Raw genomic sequence first — 14852 nt, 5'->3', positions numbered from 1 at the left:
AAAATATAAAAATTAGCTAGGAGTTTTGGCAGGCACCTGTAATCCCTGCTACTTGGGAGGCTGAGGCAGGAGAATCGTTTGAATCTGGGAGGTGGAGGTTGCAGTGAGCTGAGATTACGCCGCTGCACTCCAGCCTGGGCATCAAAAGTGAAACTCCATCTCAAAAAAAAAAAAAAAAGGAATTTTACTGGGAACTTTTATTACAAAATCTGTTAGTTTTAAAGCAGTTGTGTTTGGGTATGGGCTTCTTTGCTGTTAACAATTTTGAAGAATTTCTTTTTTTTTTTTTTTTTTTGAGACACAGTCTCACTCTGTTGCCCAAGCTGGAGTGCAATGGCTTGATCTCGGCTCACTGTAACCTCTGCCTCCCAAGTTCAAGCAATTCTCCTTCCTCAGCCTCCCAAGTAGCTGGGATTATAGGTGCCGGCCACCACACCCAGCTAATTTTGTATTTTTAGTAGAGACAGAGTTTCACCATGTTGGCCAGGCTGGGCTTGAACTCCTGACTTCAAATGATCCTCCTGTCTTGGCCTCCCAAAGTGCTAGGATTACAGGCATGAGCCACTGCACCCAGCCTGAAGCCTCTCTTCTTCATTTGGAAACAGCCACTTTCTCGCTGTGTCCTCACATAACCCTTCCACTGTGTGCATTCATCTTTGATATTTCCTCCAGTCCTGTGGGCTTAGGGGCCTACCCTTATGAGCTCACTTAGCCTTGATTATCCCCTGAAAGATCCTAATTCCAAATACAGTAATTGGGTGTTTAGGGCTTTAACATATAAATTTTGAGGAGCACAGTTCATTCCATTACACAGAGATATTTATTTCTCCAGTACGCTCATTTCAAGGGGCGATGAGACCTGGGACCGTGAAGACATCTCTGGTTGCTGTAATTATGGAGACACTAGTCTTCTCTTTAGAGATATACACTTATATTCCAAAGGGTAAGATCCTTCCCAAAGAGAATTTAAGTAATAATTAAGTCTGTTCCTGCTCCAGAGCCTTTGTGTCTACTTTCAGCACAATACAAATATAGACATTTTATCTGATGTTTATTGGAGTTGTATTCTAGTTAACTCACTTTTTCATTACATTATGGTCAAGAGGCCTGTGATATTAAAAACTTGGATGCTTTCTCCTAGTCTAAATGGGGCAAATTATCCAAATAATTCAAGTTAAGGTGATAATTTTTAAAAAGTCCACTTCTATGAGTAGAGAAAATTTTATTTTAGTAGCAATCTGTGAGTTAATGCAAAAATTGGAAGAAATCACACCCTGCAAGTCAGGAAATGTAAATTATTACAAAAGCAGAAAGAAACACTCTGGGTTGGTGGTGGTTTTTTTTTTTTAATGAAATGAAACTATTTCAAATTAACACTTTTACAGTTTTTTGAACATTTTTATTAAGTTATTAACTTAAGATAAAAGAAAAAGTCAGATTTTTACTTCTTAAATTCATTTATTTCTAGTTCTAACTCAATTTTTTATAATTGCTGATCAAATACTGCCTTGCACTGAGAAATTGGTCCATGGGTCATCATCTATATATTGCCAAAGTATGCAAAAGCTTGTAAATTTTGCATTTTACAAATGCTTGTAAATTTTTCGGTTTATAAGCATTGATTTTTAATGATGACTTCTTCCACTGCCAATTTCTAATAAAATGAAATTGGAGGTAAGGTGGAGAAAGTATGTGATTTGTTCAAGGTCAGACTGCTTAACAGAATCAGATTCCAACTAAGGTTCACACTTATACCACTAAATCACTAATGCTGTGCTCCCATAACCGTCTCACTCATTACACCTCATAGCTCAACATTATTCTATTCTGAACCATTTGTGCAATTAAAATTCTCAAATAATGACAGTTCCTTATGGGATAGTTGGAGCTCTAATTCTTGGACTAATACTCCAGTTTCCTGTTTATATCCCTTGGTTCATGGCGCATCCTATGCTTGAAATACTTTTTTTTTTTTTTTTTTTTTTTTTGTGATAGAGTCTCGCTCTGTTGCCCATTCTGGAGTGCAGTGGCATAATCTCGGCTTGCTGCAACCTCTGCCTCCCGGGTTCAAGAGATTTTTGGCTAATTTTTGTATTTTTACTAGAGACAGGGTTTCACCATGTTGGCCAGACTTGTCTCTAACTCCTGACCTCAAGTGATCCACCCGTCTCAGCTCCCAAAGTGCTAGGATTACACTGCGCCCAGCTGAAATACTTTTGAAAGTAGCCTTTTATTGAATATAATTGCTTGTCTAGGATAAGAATTTTAACCAAATGAGACATATCCTCTGAACCTGGAGATGGGGAGAACATGCGAGGACGTGTAAGAAAATGTTGATGGAGAGGGGAAAGAGGTTGAAATTAATTTGGGGTAGGGGAGGGGCACAGTGGCTCACACTTGTAATCCCAGCACTTTGGGCGGCCGAGGCAGGTGGATCACCTGAGGTTAGGAGTTTGAGACCAGCCTGGCCAACATGACAAAACCTTGTTTAAAAATACAAAAAATTAGCTGGGTGTGGTGGTGTGCACCTGTAATCCCAGCTACGCAGGAGGCTGAAGCAGAATTGCTTGAATCCAGGAGGCAGAGGTTGCTGTGAGCCGAGATTGTGCCACTGTACTCCAGCCTGGCGACACAGCAAGACTTCATCTAAAAAAAAAAAAAAAAAATTGGGTAGGTATTTTGATATAAGTAAGTATAAGGTCAGAAAGAAAATGAAGGATAAGATTCAACTGAAAGGACAGAAGAGGTTTGAGATACGGATAAGTGGGAAGGAATCAACTGGAAATGAATCAAGCCTGAGTTTAGAGTTTAGGTAGTATAATCTGGAGATCTGTAGGTGAACTAGTCAGCCTAGTTTTCTGACTTTTCCAGCAATTCTTAGAATTTTCAAGAGGGTGCTGGGTGTGGTGGCTCACGCCTGTAATCCCAGCACTTCGGGAGGCCAGGTGGGCAGATCACCTGAGGTCGTCAGAAGTTCGAGATCAGCCTGACCTACATGGAGAAACCCCATCTCTACTAAAAATACAAAAAAATTAGCCGGACATGTTGGTGCATGCCTGTAATCCCAGCTACTCAGGAAGCTGAGGCAGGAGAATCGCTTGAACCCAGGAGGCGGAGATTGCAGTGAGTCGGGATCGCGCCATTGCACTCTAGCCTGGGCAACAACCGTGAAACTCCATATCAAAAAAAAAAAAAAAAGAATTTCTAAGAGGGAAGTCTTAGTGTTCGAAAGATTTAGCCATTGTACTTGGCCCTCTAGATATAGCACAAGGGGGCTGGGCGAGATGGCTCATGCCTATAATCCCAGCACTTTGGGAAGCCAAGGTGGGTGGATCACTTGAGGCCAGGAGTATGGGAGCAAGAGATTCTAGAACAATTGATCTCAAAGGTATTTCTGTGGTGATGAGACAAGATAAGACATTCACTCCTGAAAGCATGCCTAATTATTTGTAATCCCTGAAGGACTAGCTGTTTCACTGTCTGTTTACCACTCAAGAAAACATATTAGGTTATAAGAGTTACTTCAGATAACTTCTCTCTGGAACAGTTTCCAAGTCGTCCTTTGTATTTGATGCCCTTAACACACGTATATGCATGTGTGCATCCACGGACATATGCACATTATTTGGACGTGTAATTTTGGAGAACAAAATTAAACTTCACAGGTGAGTCTAATACACCAATCTCATTCATATCAGTAAGAATACAACTGAGCTACAATATTGTGTTTTGAATTGACTTCTGTAGGATAAGGAATATTTTTAAAAAATTATTTGTTAACTTTTTTTTTTTGAGACGGAGTCTCGCTGTCGCCCAGGCTGGAGCGCAGTGGCATGATCTCGGCTCACTGCAGGCTCTGCCCCCTGGGGTTCACGCCATTCTCCTGCCTCAGCCTCCCGAGTAGCTGGGACTAGAGGCGCCCGCCACCTCGCCCAGCTAATTTTTTTGTATTTTTAGTAGAGACGGGGTTTCACCGTGTTAGCCAGGACGGTCTTGATCTCCTGACCTCGTGATCCGCCCGCCTCGGCCTCCCAAAGTGCTGGGATTACAGGCGTGAGCCACCGCGCCCGGCCCAACTTTTTTTTTTTTTTTTTTTTTTTTTTTTTTTTTTTTCTGAGACGGAGTTTCACTCTTGTTGCCCAGGCTGGAGTGCAATGGCGTGATCTTGGCTCACTGCAACCTCCGCCTCCCAGGTTCAAGCGATTCTCCTGCCTCAGCCTGCTGAGTAGCAAGGATTACAGGCACTTGCCAGCACACCCAGCTAATTTTTGTATTTTTAGTGAAGGCGGGGGTTTCACCATGTTGGCCAGGCTGGTTTTGAACTCCTGACCTAAGGTGATCTGCCTGCCTCGGCCTCCCAAAGTGCTGGGATTACAGGCGTGAGCCACTGTGCCCAGCCTGTTAACACTTTATTATGGAAAAATTTGAACATATAAAAGTAGGGTAACAATGGGCCCATGAAGAGTTAAATAGAACAGTCCGCAAGACCGCCAATACTTCTGACACAAACTGCAGAGTTCAGGGGAGCCTAAGACCACCCTCAGGTGTGATAATTTGTTAAAACGACTCAGAACTCATTTAAAGCTGTTATACTCATGGTAATGGTGGGTTACAGGGAAAGGATACAGATTAAAATCTGCAAAGGATCTAGCACTGATTTGGAGACTTGATCTATGCATAGGGCAGAGGCCAGAAGGGTTCTAAAGGTGGAGATTCCAGTTGTCCTCTCCCTGTAGAGTCATGGACAACATTGACCCCTCACAGCAATGATGTGTGACAAGACACATGGAGCAGTGCCAACCAGGAAAGCTCCCCCAAGCTTTGGTGTCCACAGTTTTTATTCAGACATCATGCTTGACTGACTACATAGCTGAACTCAGTCTCTAGCTCCTCTGGAGGTCAAACTGATATCCCAAGACTCAAAGCCTCCACTGTAAATGAGTTTGTGTGATCCAAATTCTCAAGATAAAGGACATTCTTATCAGGCAGGATATGCTGAGGGTTTAGAGATTACCAGGGGCAAAGAAAGAGCAAAGGCCAGCCCTGACTTAAAATCTATGTTATATAACCCATTACTCAGCTTCAATAATAAGTATATCTCCAACCACCTTCCCTTTCCATATTGTTTTCCATTAAAACTATGTGGAGGCCAGGTGCTATGGCTCACGCCTATAATGCCAGCATTTTGGGAGGCTGATGTGGGAAGATTCCTTGAGCCCAAGAATTTGAGACCAGCCTGAGCAACATGGCAGGACATTGTCTGTACAAAATATTAAAAAATTAGCCGGGTTTGGTGGCACACCCCTGTAGTCCCAGCTACTGGAGAAATGGAGGCGGGAGGATCACTTGAGCCCAGGAGGTCGACTACAGTGAGCTGTGATGGCACCACTGCACTCCAGCCTGACCGACAGAGCGAGACCCTGTCTCCAAACAAACAAACAAAAATTTAGAAACATAATAAAATGGCAAAAATAGTATCAAGACTACATGTGGATATCCTAATTTTTGTATTTTACCCCATATTCCTTATCCTCTTTTTGTCTTTATCTATCTAGCCATACATATAAACACATAATTTTTTCAGAACTATTTTTCACAATTATTCAGAATACATTGCACCAATGGAGCTCCTGTAATCTCTTAATTATCCCTTAATACTCCATGCATTTTCAAAAAACAAGAACACTCTCCTATGTAACCACAGTACAACCCCCAGATTTAGGAAATTCGTATTCACACATTTTTATCATTTAATTTACAAACCCCATTCAAATTTTGATGATAGACCCAATTAGATTCTTGCTAAGTATAGAATCTAATCTAGGATTACAAATTATATTTAGTTTTTATGTTTCTTTAGTTTTCCTTAATCTGGAATTTCCCAGTCATTCTTTGTATTTGATGCTCTTGAAACCTGAAAAATGAGGCCGGGCGCTGTGGCTCATGCCTGTAATCCCAGCACTTTGGGAGGCCAAGGCGGGCAGATCACCAGGTCAGGAGATCAAGACCATCCTGGCTAACACGCTGAAACCCCGTCTCTACTAAAAATACAAAAAATTAGCCGGGCGTGGTGGCAGGCCCCTGTAGTCCCAGCTACTTGGGAGGCTGAGGCAGGAGAATGGCGTGAACCACAGGGGGTGGAGCTTGCAGTGAGCCGAGATCGCGCCACTGCACTCCAGCCTGGGCAACAGAGCGAGACTCCGTCTGAAAAAAAAAAAAAAAAGAAATAGAGGCTGGGCATGGTGGCTCACACCTATAATCTCAACACACTGTGAAGCCATGGTGGGAAGATCTTTGTATCTTACTTTGATTCAACACATTGATTATCTTTTCTGTAAAGTGCACGTTGTACAAAGAACATAAATTTCTTCACATATCTTCGCCCTTTAGAGGTTCATAATTTGCTGAGCAAAGAAAGGGCAATGAGAGAACTAAGGAGACTGATTAATTTTGTCTAGAAGACCTTGGAAAGGAGGTTGTATCTTCTATATATGTGTTACACTCACTTCTGAGGACAAATGACGTGCTGAGAGCCCCAGGCTGAGCAAAGCAACTCTAACTTTTTCTTAAGATTAACTTTTTCTTAAGATTAAGATTAAGATTAATCTTTTCTTAAGATTAAGATCAATCTTTTCTTAAGATTAAGATTAAGATAAATCTTTTCTTAAGATTAAGATCAATCTTTTCTTAAGATTAAGATTAAGATCATTCTTTTCTTAAGATTAAGATTAAGATCAATCTCTTCTTAAGATTAAGATTAATCTTTTCTTAAGATTAAGATTAATCTTTTCTTAAGATTAAGATTAAGATTAATCTTTTCTTAAGATTAAGATTAAGATTAATCTTTTCTTAAGATTAAGATTAAGATTAATCTTTTCTTAAGATTAAGATTAAGATTAATCTTTTCTTAAGATTAAGATTAAGATTAATCTTTTCTTAAGATTGGCCTGGAGTGGTGGCTCATACCTGTAATCCCAGCACTTTGGGAGGCCGAGGCAGGCGGATCATCTGAGGTCAGGAGTTCAAGACCAACCTGGCTAACTGGTTAACATGGTGAAACCCTGTTTCTACTAAAAATACAAAAAATTAGCCGGGCGTGGTGGGGTGTGCCTGTAATCTTAGCTACTCAGGAGGCTGAGGCAGGAGAATCGCTGGAACCCAGGAGGCGGAGGTTGCAGTGAGCTGAGATCGCGCCATTGCATTCCAGCTTGGGCAACAAGAGCGAAACGCGGTCTAAAAAAAAAAAAAAGATTAAGTGGCCATGTTCTTGGCCACTTAGCCTTGTCATAGTGATCCAAGCTGATTGTGCTGGAGGGGTGAGCCCCTGACAGACGATAGCCAGTTTATAGATCAGCTAGCAGCCCATTAGGTGGTCTGGCATGATAATTTTGCTTGATAGGGATGACAATGACTAGACCAATTATAGTGTCAACATAAAATATAGAAATGAATCTCTAAGCAAAAGGTTTTATTCGGGAATATAGATAAAAATAGAATTGCAATTTGGGGCATAAGAACAGACCAGAATGGTCTTCAGAATGTCAAAAAAAAAAAAAAAGGAATATGTTGAGGTTTTATTGGGAAAGAGAAATGAAACATAAAATGTTTTGAAAGAGTTAACTGGTGCTGGCGAAGTCTTTTGGGAGCTGGCAAGCTCTGATGGGTGAGTGAGGGCGGTAGGTAAAAGTAATTGCCATTGAAAGTAATGTCAAAAACTGCAATTACTTAGTCTCAGGTTGTTTTGGCAGCTATTAGATAAAACTAGTCTTAAGGTTATAATACGCCGTTTCAGAAGCTAAGGAGAGGCTGCCATACACTTCCTAGAGGAACTGCTTTGTGCCTTGGGGCTTTTTACCCCTGGTCCCTTGATTCTGATTTAGTTGAGTGTGACAGAAGTTATTCCAATCCATATAATCAATTTTTACAGTAGTTTTTTAGAAGGTTGTATGGGAGAGATAACCATGTATGTGTTAGTAGAGGAAGGAGAATAAGAAATACCCAGTGAGGCAAAAATAGAGTTGCTGAAGATAGGTTAACGATAGTATTCGTAGGGATCATAAACTTCTGCTCCCTGACAAGGGGGACAGTGTTTGTGGCTTATTGCCTTCCTTTGTGTTAAAAGATATTTTCTAATAGGCCAAATTAATTACCTTTCTATTTCTTTTCCTTTTTTTTTTTTTTTTATTGAGACAGAGTCTCACTCTGCTGCCCAGGCCGGAGTGCAGTGGTGCCATCTACGCTTACTGCAACCTCTTCCTCCCGGGTTCAAGCAATTCTCTGCCTCAGCCTCCTGAGTAGCTGGGATTACAGGTGCCCACCACCAGGCCTGGCTAATTTTTGTATTTTTAGTAGAGATGGGGTTTCACTATCTTGGCCAGGCTGGTCTTGAACTCCTGACCTCGTGATCCATCTGCCTTGGCCTCCCAAACTGCTGGTATTACAGGCGTGAGCCACCGAGCCCGGCCTTCTTTTCCTTTTCTTAGTGGTTTTGTGAGTTGTTTTCTTAGTGGTTGCTCTAGTGATGACAATTTTGTGAGTTATTTCCTTAGTGGTTACTCTGGTAATTATAGAGTGAGTTATTTTCTTAGTGGTTACTCTAATGTTTGCAATTAACACCTTGTCTTAAAATAATCTAGTTCAGATTAATATCAACTTAATTTTAATAGATACAAAAACTTCGCTCCAATATAGCTGTTCCCTCCCCCAATCCTTTGAGCTATTATTGCCATTCAAATTATATCTTTATTATAAGCCCATCTACACAGTTTTATGATTATGGTTTTATTCCAGTTGCCCTTTAGATCATATAGGAGAAGGAAAGAACTATAAACAAAAACATTTATACTGTATTTTATATTTATCTGTTTAGTTACCTTTACTGGTACTCTTTAATTCTTAGTGTGGATTCAAGTTACTACCTCTGCTCTCTCTAATGGCTGTAGAGAATGGAAGGGAATGGAAGGGAAGAGGATGAGGACAGAAATAGACTTATCTTAGAAGAGAAGGAAGGATGGTAGACACTTTGCAGTTTAGATAATTGAAAATATCTCTTTCATTCGGCTAATACTTAGAGTCTCCTATGTATCAGGAACTATGCTCAGCACTGGGTCTTAAGTCATAGACAGAGAGACATAGTAAAAAGACACAGTCCCTGTTCTATAGTGGGGGAGAAAGGGGGAAAAAAAGCATAAATCAATCCTAAAATTATAAATTTGTGTTATGGATGGTGCAGACTTACTTGAGAGAGTGCTAGAAAACACTTCTTGTGGATATGATGTTTAAAATGAGATATGAAGGATAATGAGGCAGCTTGGTGATGGTTGTGAGGGGCTGTAGGAAAACGTAAAGGTAGAAGGATCAGGGTATTCTAGGCTGAGGGACCAGTGAGTGTAAAGGCTTTCAGACAGGGGTGAATCTAACATTGTGAAGAACAGAGAAAAGGTCAGTATGTTTGAGGCATAATGAATGAAGTAGGGAGTAGGAAAGATGAGCTTGGAGAGACAGGCAGGGTCTAGATCATGCAGGGCCTTGCGTGTGAACCTGAGGACTTTTGATTTTACCTAAAGAACAATGGAGTACCCCCCGACTTTTATTTATTTATTTATTTATTTTGAGACGGGAGTCTTGCTGTTGTTGCCCAGGCTGGAGTGCAATGGCGCATCTTGGCTCACTGTAACCTCTGCCTCCCAGGTTCAAGCGATTCTCCTGCCTCAGCTTCCTGAGTAGCTGGGACTACAGGCATTTGCCACCATGCCCTGATAATTTTGTATTTTTAGTAAAGTTGGGGTTTCACCTGTTGGTCAGGCCGGTCTTGAGCAATGGAGTACCCTTAAAGCAGAGGTAACAGACTAAAAGAATGTAGTTTCTGCCTCAGGGCATATCCATACTTAGTGCAGTATGGTGCCAACCCTTAATTTTAGTTTTAAAACAGGGAGATTTCATATAAAAATCTAGATTTCCAGCTTTTGTTTTCTTTTCTTTTTTTTTTTGAGACGGAGTTTCGCTCTTGTTGCCCAGGCTGGAGTGCAATGGTGCGATCTCGGCTCACCGCAACCTCTGCCTCCCAGGTGCAAGGGATTCTCCTGCCTCAGCCTCGCAAGTAGCCGGGATTATAGGCACCCCACACCATACCCAGCTAATTTTTGTATTTTTAGTAGAGGTGGGGTTTCTCCATGTTGGTCAGGCTGGTCTCTAACTCCTGACCTCAGGTGATCTGCCCTCCTCGGCCTCCCAAATTGCTGGGATTACAGGCGTGAGCCAGCGCTCCCAGCCCCAGCTTCTCTTTTAAAAAGCTGAAGATCTCACCATATCTTACTCTAACTGGTAGAAGTTGGGTATAGTCCCATGTTGGGGTTTTGCCAGGCAAGTGCAAAAGAGGCAGAGGAAGATGAGAGGTCAGAAAGCTTTCAAAGGAGTAATTGTAAGGATAAACTATTGAGTCTAAGCTGGGTAATACAGCAACTGAATTCTAGAGGGAGGTGATGAATAGATCATGGTGGTTCAGTGGACTGGCATCTCAATTAACTCAAAGGATTATTTGTAATGGGTATTTTTACAAGTGAGCCAGAAGAACTGAAAGTTGTTTCAGGAGAGTGAGGTGTTAGCACTGTGATTGTGGATATGGTAATTTCTAGTGAGGAAAAGTTCCAAGGTGTGACTATAGAAGTGGATGGCTGAAGTGGGGAAGAAGAAAAGGTCACTGGGCATGACAGTCAAACAACTAAGAGATGAGAACAATGAGAGGAATTCAGATGAAGATAAAGTCTTTAAGTCAGATGTAAAATCTTCAGTGAATAAGAGGGAGTCATAGGAAATCACAAGATCACAGCCCCAATGAAATCCTGAAGAGGATGAAAAAATGATAATAGTTTGAAGAGCAAGGAAATCATGACCTCATCTGATCCTGAGGTATGTTGTGTAAGAAAAATAGAATGGTTGACTTTGAAACTGGGAACCAAGGCTAGAAACTGGGGTGAGATTCTCATGAAATATTCAACTTTTTTCTTTTTCTTTGGTCTCTGGGAACACTTACATTAGTATCCAATCATTTTTTTTTTTTTTGAGACGGAGTTTTGTTCTTGTTGCCCAGGCTGGAATGTAATGGTGCGATCTCAGCTCACTGCAACCTCTGACTCCCGGGTTCAAGCAATTATCCTGCCACAGCCTCCTGAGTAGCTGGGATTACAGGCATGCGCCACCACACTTGGCTAATTTTTTTGTATTTTTTAGTAGAGATGGGATTTCTCCATATTGGTCAGGCTGGTCTCGAACTCCTGACCTCAGGTGATCTGCCAGCCTTGGCCTCCTAACGTGCTGGGATTACAGGCATGAGCCACCATGCCCAGCCCTCCAATCAATTTTTTAAATGATAATTCCACCTCATTAATTTCAAACATTCAGTAAGAGTCTATTACAGATATGTTCATGGTATTGTAGGAAATTAAGGGATGGGGCAGTGAATCTAAGTGTGGCTTTTCATGTATATCTCTCTGTTGAGGTCATGTAATCATCTTATTCAGTGAGTTTTCAGAAATTACCAGCAGGAAAAGGAACAGTGTGCCTTGGTGGATCTAACTCAGGAGCATAAGTCTCTGATTAATCTGCAGAAGTCCTGGAACAAGCACTAGATTTCTCACATCAATGCATAGTGAGGTGATGCTGAAACATTATTGAAGGAGACTTAAAGACATTTAGAGGACTTAGAGATGTCCAGGTGGCTGACATCTGAAATATTAAGAAAGACTTTGGGATGGAAAGTAGGCAGAATGGACTAACCTGTCTTCAACTAGGACACTGAAAATGCTAGCAGATAGGAGAGAAGAGGTATGGGACATTGGAAAACCAAAAGGAGTAATGTTAGGCAAATGATTGCCTAAGAAATCCACACTTCCTTTCCTTTTATTAACTAAATTTATTTTAAATCTAGTAACACAGAGATATTTTTATTTGAAATAGTGATTATGGATTAATATGTATCTTTGTAGATGGATTTTCCCCAATATCATTTGTGTTCCACCCTTGATGGAAATTTGTAGGTATTTTTGTGATTTGGCCAATTGCCTGTATAAGAGACAGTGTTGTGGTTAACTGCACAGAGTGAGCCAACTGGCTGAGTTGAATGCCTGCACAACATCCCAGTTTATCACTTCTTGGCTAGGTGACCTTAGCTACTGCCTTAATCATTCTGTGCATACTTGCTCTGTAAAACTGGGATTAATAATAGTGCCTACCTCATGAGTTGCTGGGAGGATGAAGGGAGTTAATGTCTGAGAAGCACCTAGAACAATACCTGGCGCATAGCAAGCAAGACCCAAGTGTCAACGATTCTTATTTACTTACTTTCTTGTCTTTTCTTTTTATTGAGACAAGAGTCTTGCTCTGTGGCCCAGGCTGGAGTGCAGTGGTGCGATCTTGGTTCACTGCAACCTCTGCCTCCTGGGTTCAAGCGATTCTTCTGCCTCAGTCTCCTGAGTAGCTGGGACTACAGGCGCATGCCACCACGACTGGCTAATTTTTTGTATTTTTAGTAGAGATGGGGTTTCACTGTGTTAGCCAGGATGGTCTCGATCTCCTGATCTCATGATTCAACCTCCTCAGCCTCCCAAAGTGCTGGGATTACAGGCGTAAGCCACCACGCCCGGCTGTTATTTACTTTCTATTGGCTATAACACAGAGACAATACACTCCTTGAAGCCACCACTCATAATATGTATTGTTAGGAATACAACATAGTCTGTTTTGACTTTTAAAGGTAATATTTGCATAAAGTAAAAAAAAAAAAAAAACTCCAGTAGTATAATTGCACTCTCCAATATAATAGCCACTAGCCATATGTGACTAAATTAATTAAAATTAATAAAGTTAAAAATTCAGTTCCTTGATTTCAGTAGCCACATTTCATGCAGGCAATACCCACATGAAGCTACAGGACATTTCTATCACTGAAAAATGTTTATTAGAGGTGGCAGATTGTGAAACCTCTTGCCCTTTCCTACCTTCCGTTTCCCGGGGTAGTCACTGTTACTAGTTTCTTGTATAGTATTTAGTATTTATTTATTTTTTTAGATGGAGTCTTGCTCTGTTACCCAGGCTGGAGTGTAGTGGCACGATCTTGGCTCACTGCAACCTCCGCTTCCCAGGTTCAAGCGATTCTCCTGCCTCAGCCTCTTGAGTAGCTGGGATTATAGGCGCATACCACCAGGTTCAGCTAATTTTTGTATTTTCAGTAGAGACGGAATTTCGCCATGTGGGCCAGGCTGGTCTCGAACCCCTGACCTCAAGTAATCCGCCCGCCTCGGCCTCCCAAAGTGTTGGTATTACAGGCAGGAGCCACCACACCCGGCCTCAATATATATTTTTATTACATAAATGTTACCATATTATTTGCACTGCTCTGTATCTAATTTTTGTTTTATTTAAAATGTATTAACTACTGTTTTCTAACAGCTCAAAGATTTAGAGCATGTGATATTAGGCTTTCAGAGCAGCTCTTAAAACTTTAAAGCACAATTTGAATATAAGAAATATGCATAGGTTTCAAGGACAGGTCGTATTTGGTTAAAAAATATGCATATGCTGTTCCTTGGGAGCAGGTGGAAGGAATGAATTACTTCAATTTCCTTCCTTGTGTGGCACCTGCGAAAACCACGTTGCAGCTGAGTGAATTGAAGTCACCAGCTGACAATCATCCTACTAGCTTGATAGGGAATGCTTCAGCCCCCACAGTGCTGCTCAGAGATCTCCTGCATCGTGGAATCACCCTGCATAAAAGCGGTTGGGGCACTGTTAAGACGTCTGATATCTGGGGCCCGCCCACTGGCGACTGCAGGTCGCGGGGCCACCCCGGTCCGCGGGGAAGGGGACCCCGCCGCCTTCCCGAGGTGAGCGGCGCCCCCTGCCGCCAGCCGGAGGAGCTCAGGGCCGCTCGCAGGAGGCCGGGAACATGGCGGGGCAGCCCGCGGCCACCGGCTCGCCGTCTGCCGACAAGGACGGAATGGAGCCCAACGTCGTGGCTCGGATCTCGCAGTGGGCAGACGACCACCTGCGCCTAGTCCGGGTACTGGGGCCACGCAGTCTGGGCGGGTGGTGGGCGCGGGGCGGCACAGAGCGACCCTGAGAACAACGTGAGGCCTCAGGCGTGGATCCCGCCGGGGCCGGGGAGCGACAGAAAACTGCGGGGGAATGAGCTCGAGAGGGCGACATCGCGAGTGTCGTGTGTGCGGGGCTGCAGAGGGCCGGGGGCGGGCCAGGGGGCCAGTTCGGCCTCATTATTACAAGGACTGTTCTGGATCCTTGCTGGGCTGTAGGGGGCACCTCAAAGGGTGAGACGCAGCCCAGCTCGGGGATGCCACCTGGTCCATTAGAGCATTTGGGGAGGGCCCAGAGAGGAGACCGAGGAAGAGCAGGGAAGTCCTGTACGCCTTGGGAGAGAGCATTTCTAATTTTTATTTATTTTTAATTTTATTTTTTAGGGACACGGTATTCCTCTCTGGCCCAAGCTGGAGTGCAGTGGCACGATCATAGCTCACTGCTGCTGCTCCACCCACTTCGGCCGAAAAGATCCTCCCACTTCAGCCTCCCGAGTAGCTGGAACCACAGGTTGCGTGCGCTACCCCATCGACTACTTTCTTTTAGAGTTAGAGACTGGGAGTCTTGCTATGTTGTCCAGGCTGTCCTCCAACTCCTGGCCTCAAGTGATCTCCCACCTCAGCCTCCCGAATAGATTTCTTTTTTTTGAGACAGGGTCTCCCTCTGTCACGCCTGGAGTGCAGTGGCACCATTATGTCTCGTTGCAGTCTCCACTTCCTGGGCTTAAGCAATCCTCCCACCTCAGGCTCCCGAGTAGCTAGGGC

General features: G+C 42.8%; 1 protein-coding gene across 3 annotated transcripts in view, besides 1 other annotated feature; it reads left to right on the top strand.

Moving 5' to 3' along the window:
• Window positions 13633-13982: a silencer, noted in NCBI's record as "silent region_14833". NCBI's record gives its function as "represses an Ori minimal core promoter by ATAC-STARR-seq in GM12878 lymphoblastoid cells {active_cell/tissue: GM12878}" and the evidence as "EXISTENCE:reporter gene assay evidence [ECO:0000049][PMID:35858748]".
• C3orf33 (chromosome 3 open reading frame 33) overlaps window positions 13917-14852 on the top strand; it is a 43662-nt gene continuing 42726 nt past the window's right edge. For 2 of the 3 annotated variants that reach the window (XM_011512710.3, NM_001308229.2), the window contains exon 1: window positions 13917-14056. In XM_011512710.3, the coding sequence (XP_011511012.1) occupies window positions 13943-14056 (114 nt within the window). In that variant the 5' untranslated portion in view covers window positions 13917-13942. Of the gene's footprint in view, window positions 14057-14471; window positions 14599-14852 lie in introns of all 3 variants that reach the window. The other variant, NM_173657.3, reaches the window with a different exon arrangement.

The sequence above is a fragment of the Homo sapiens genome, chromosome 3 (genome assembly GCF_000001405.40).
Source record: "Homo sapiens chromosome 3, GRCh38.p14 Primary Assembly".
NCBI classification, from domain to species: Eukaryota; Metazoa; Chordata; class Mammalia; order Primates; family Hominidae; genus Homo; species Homo sapiens.
The sequence above is the reverse complement of the archived record's forward strand: the minus strand, read 5'-3'. Positions and strand labels throughout refer to the sequence as shown.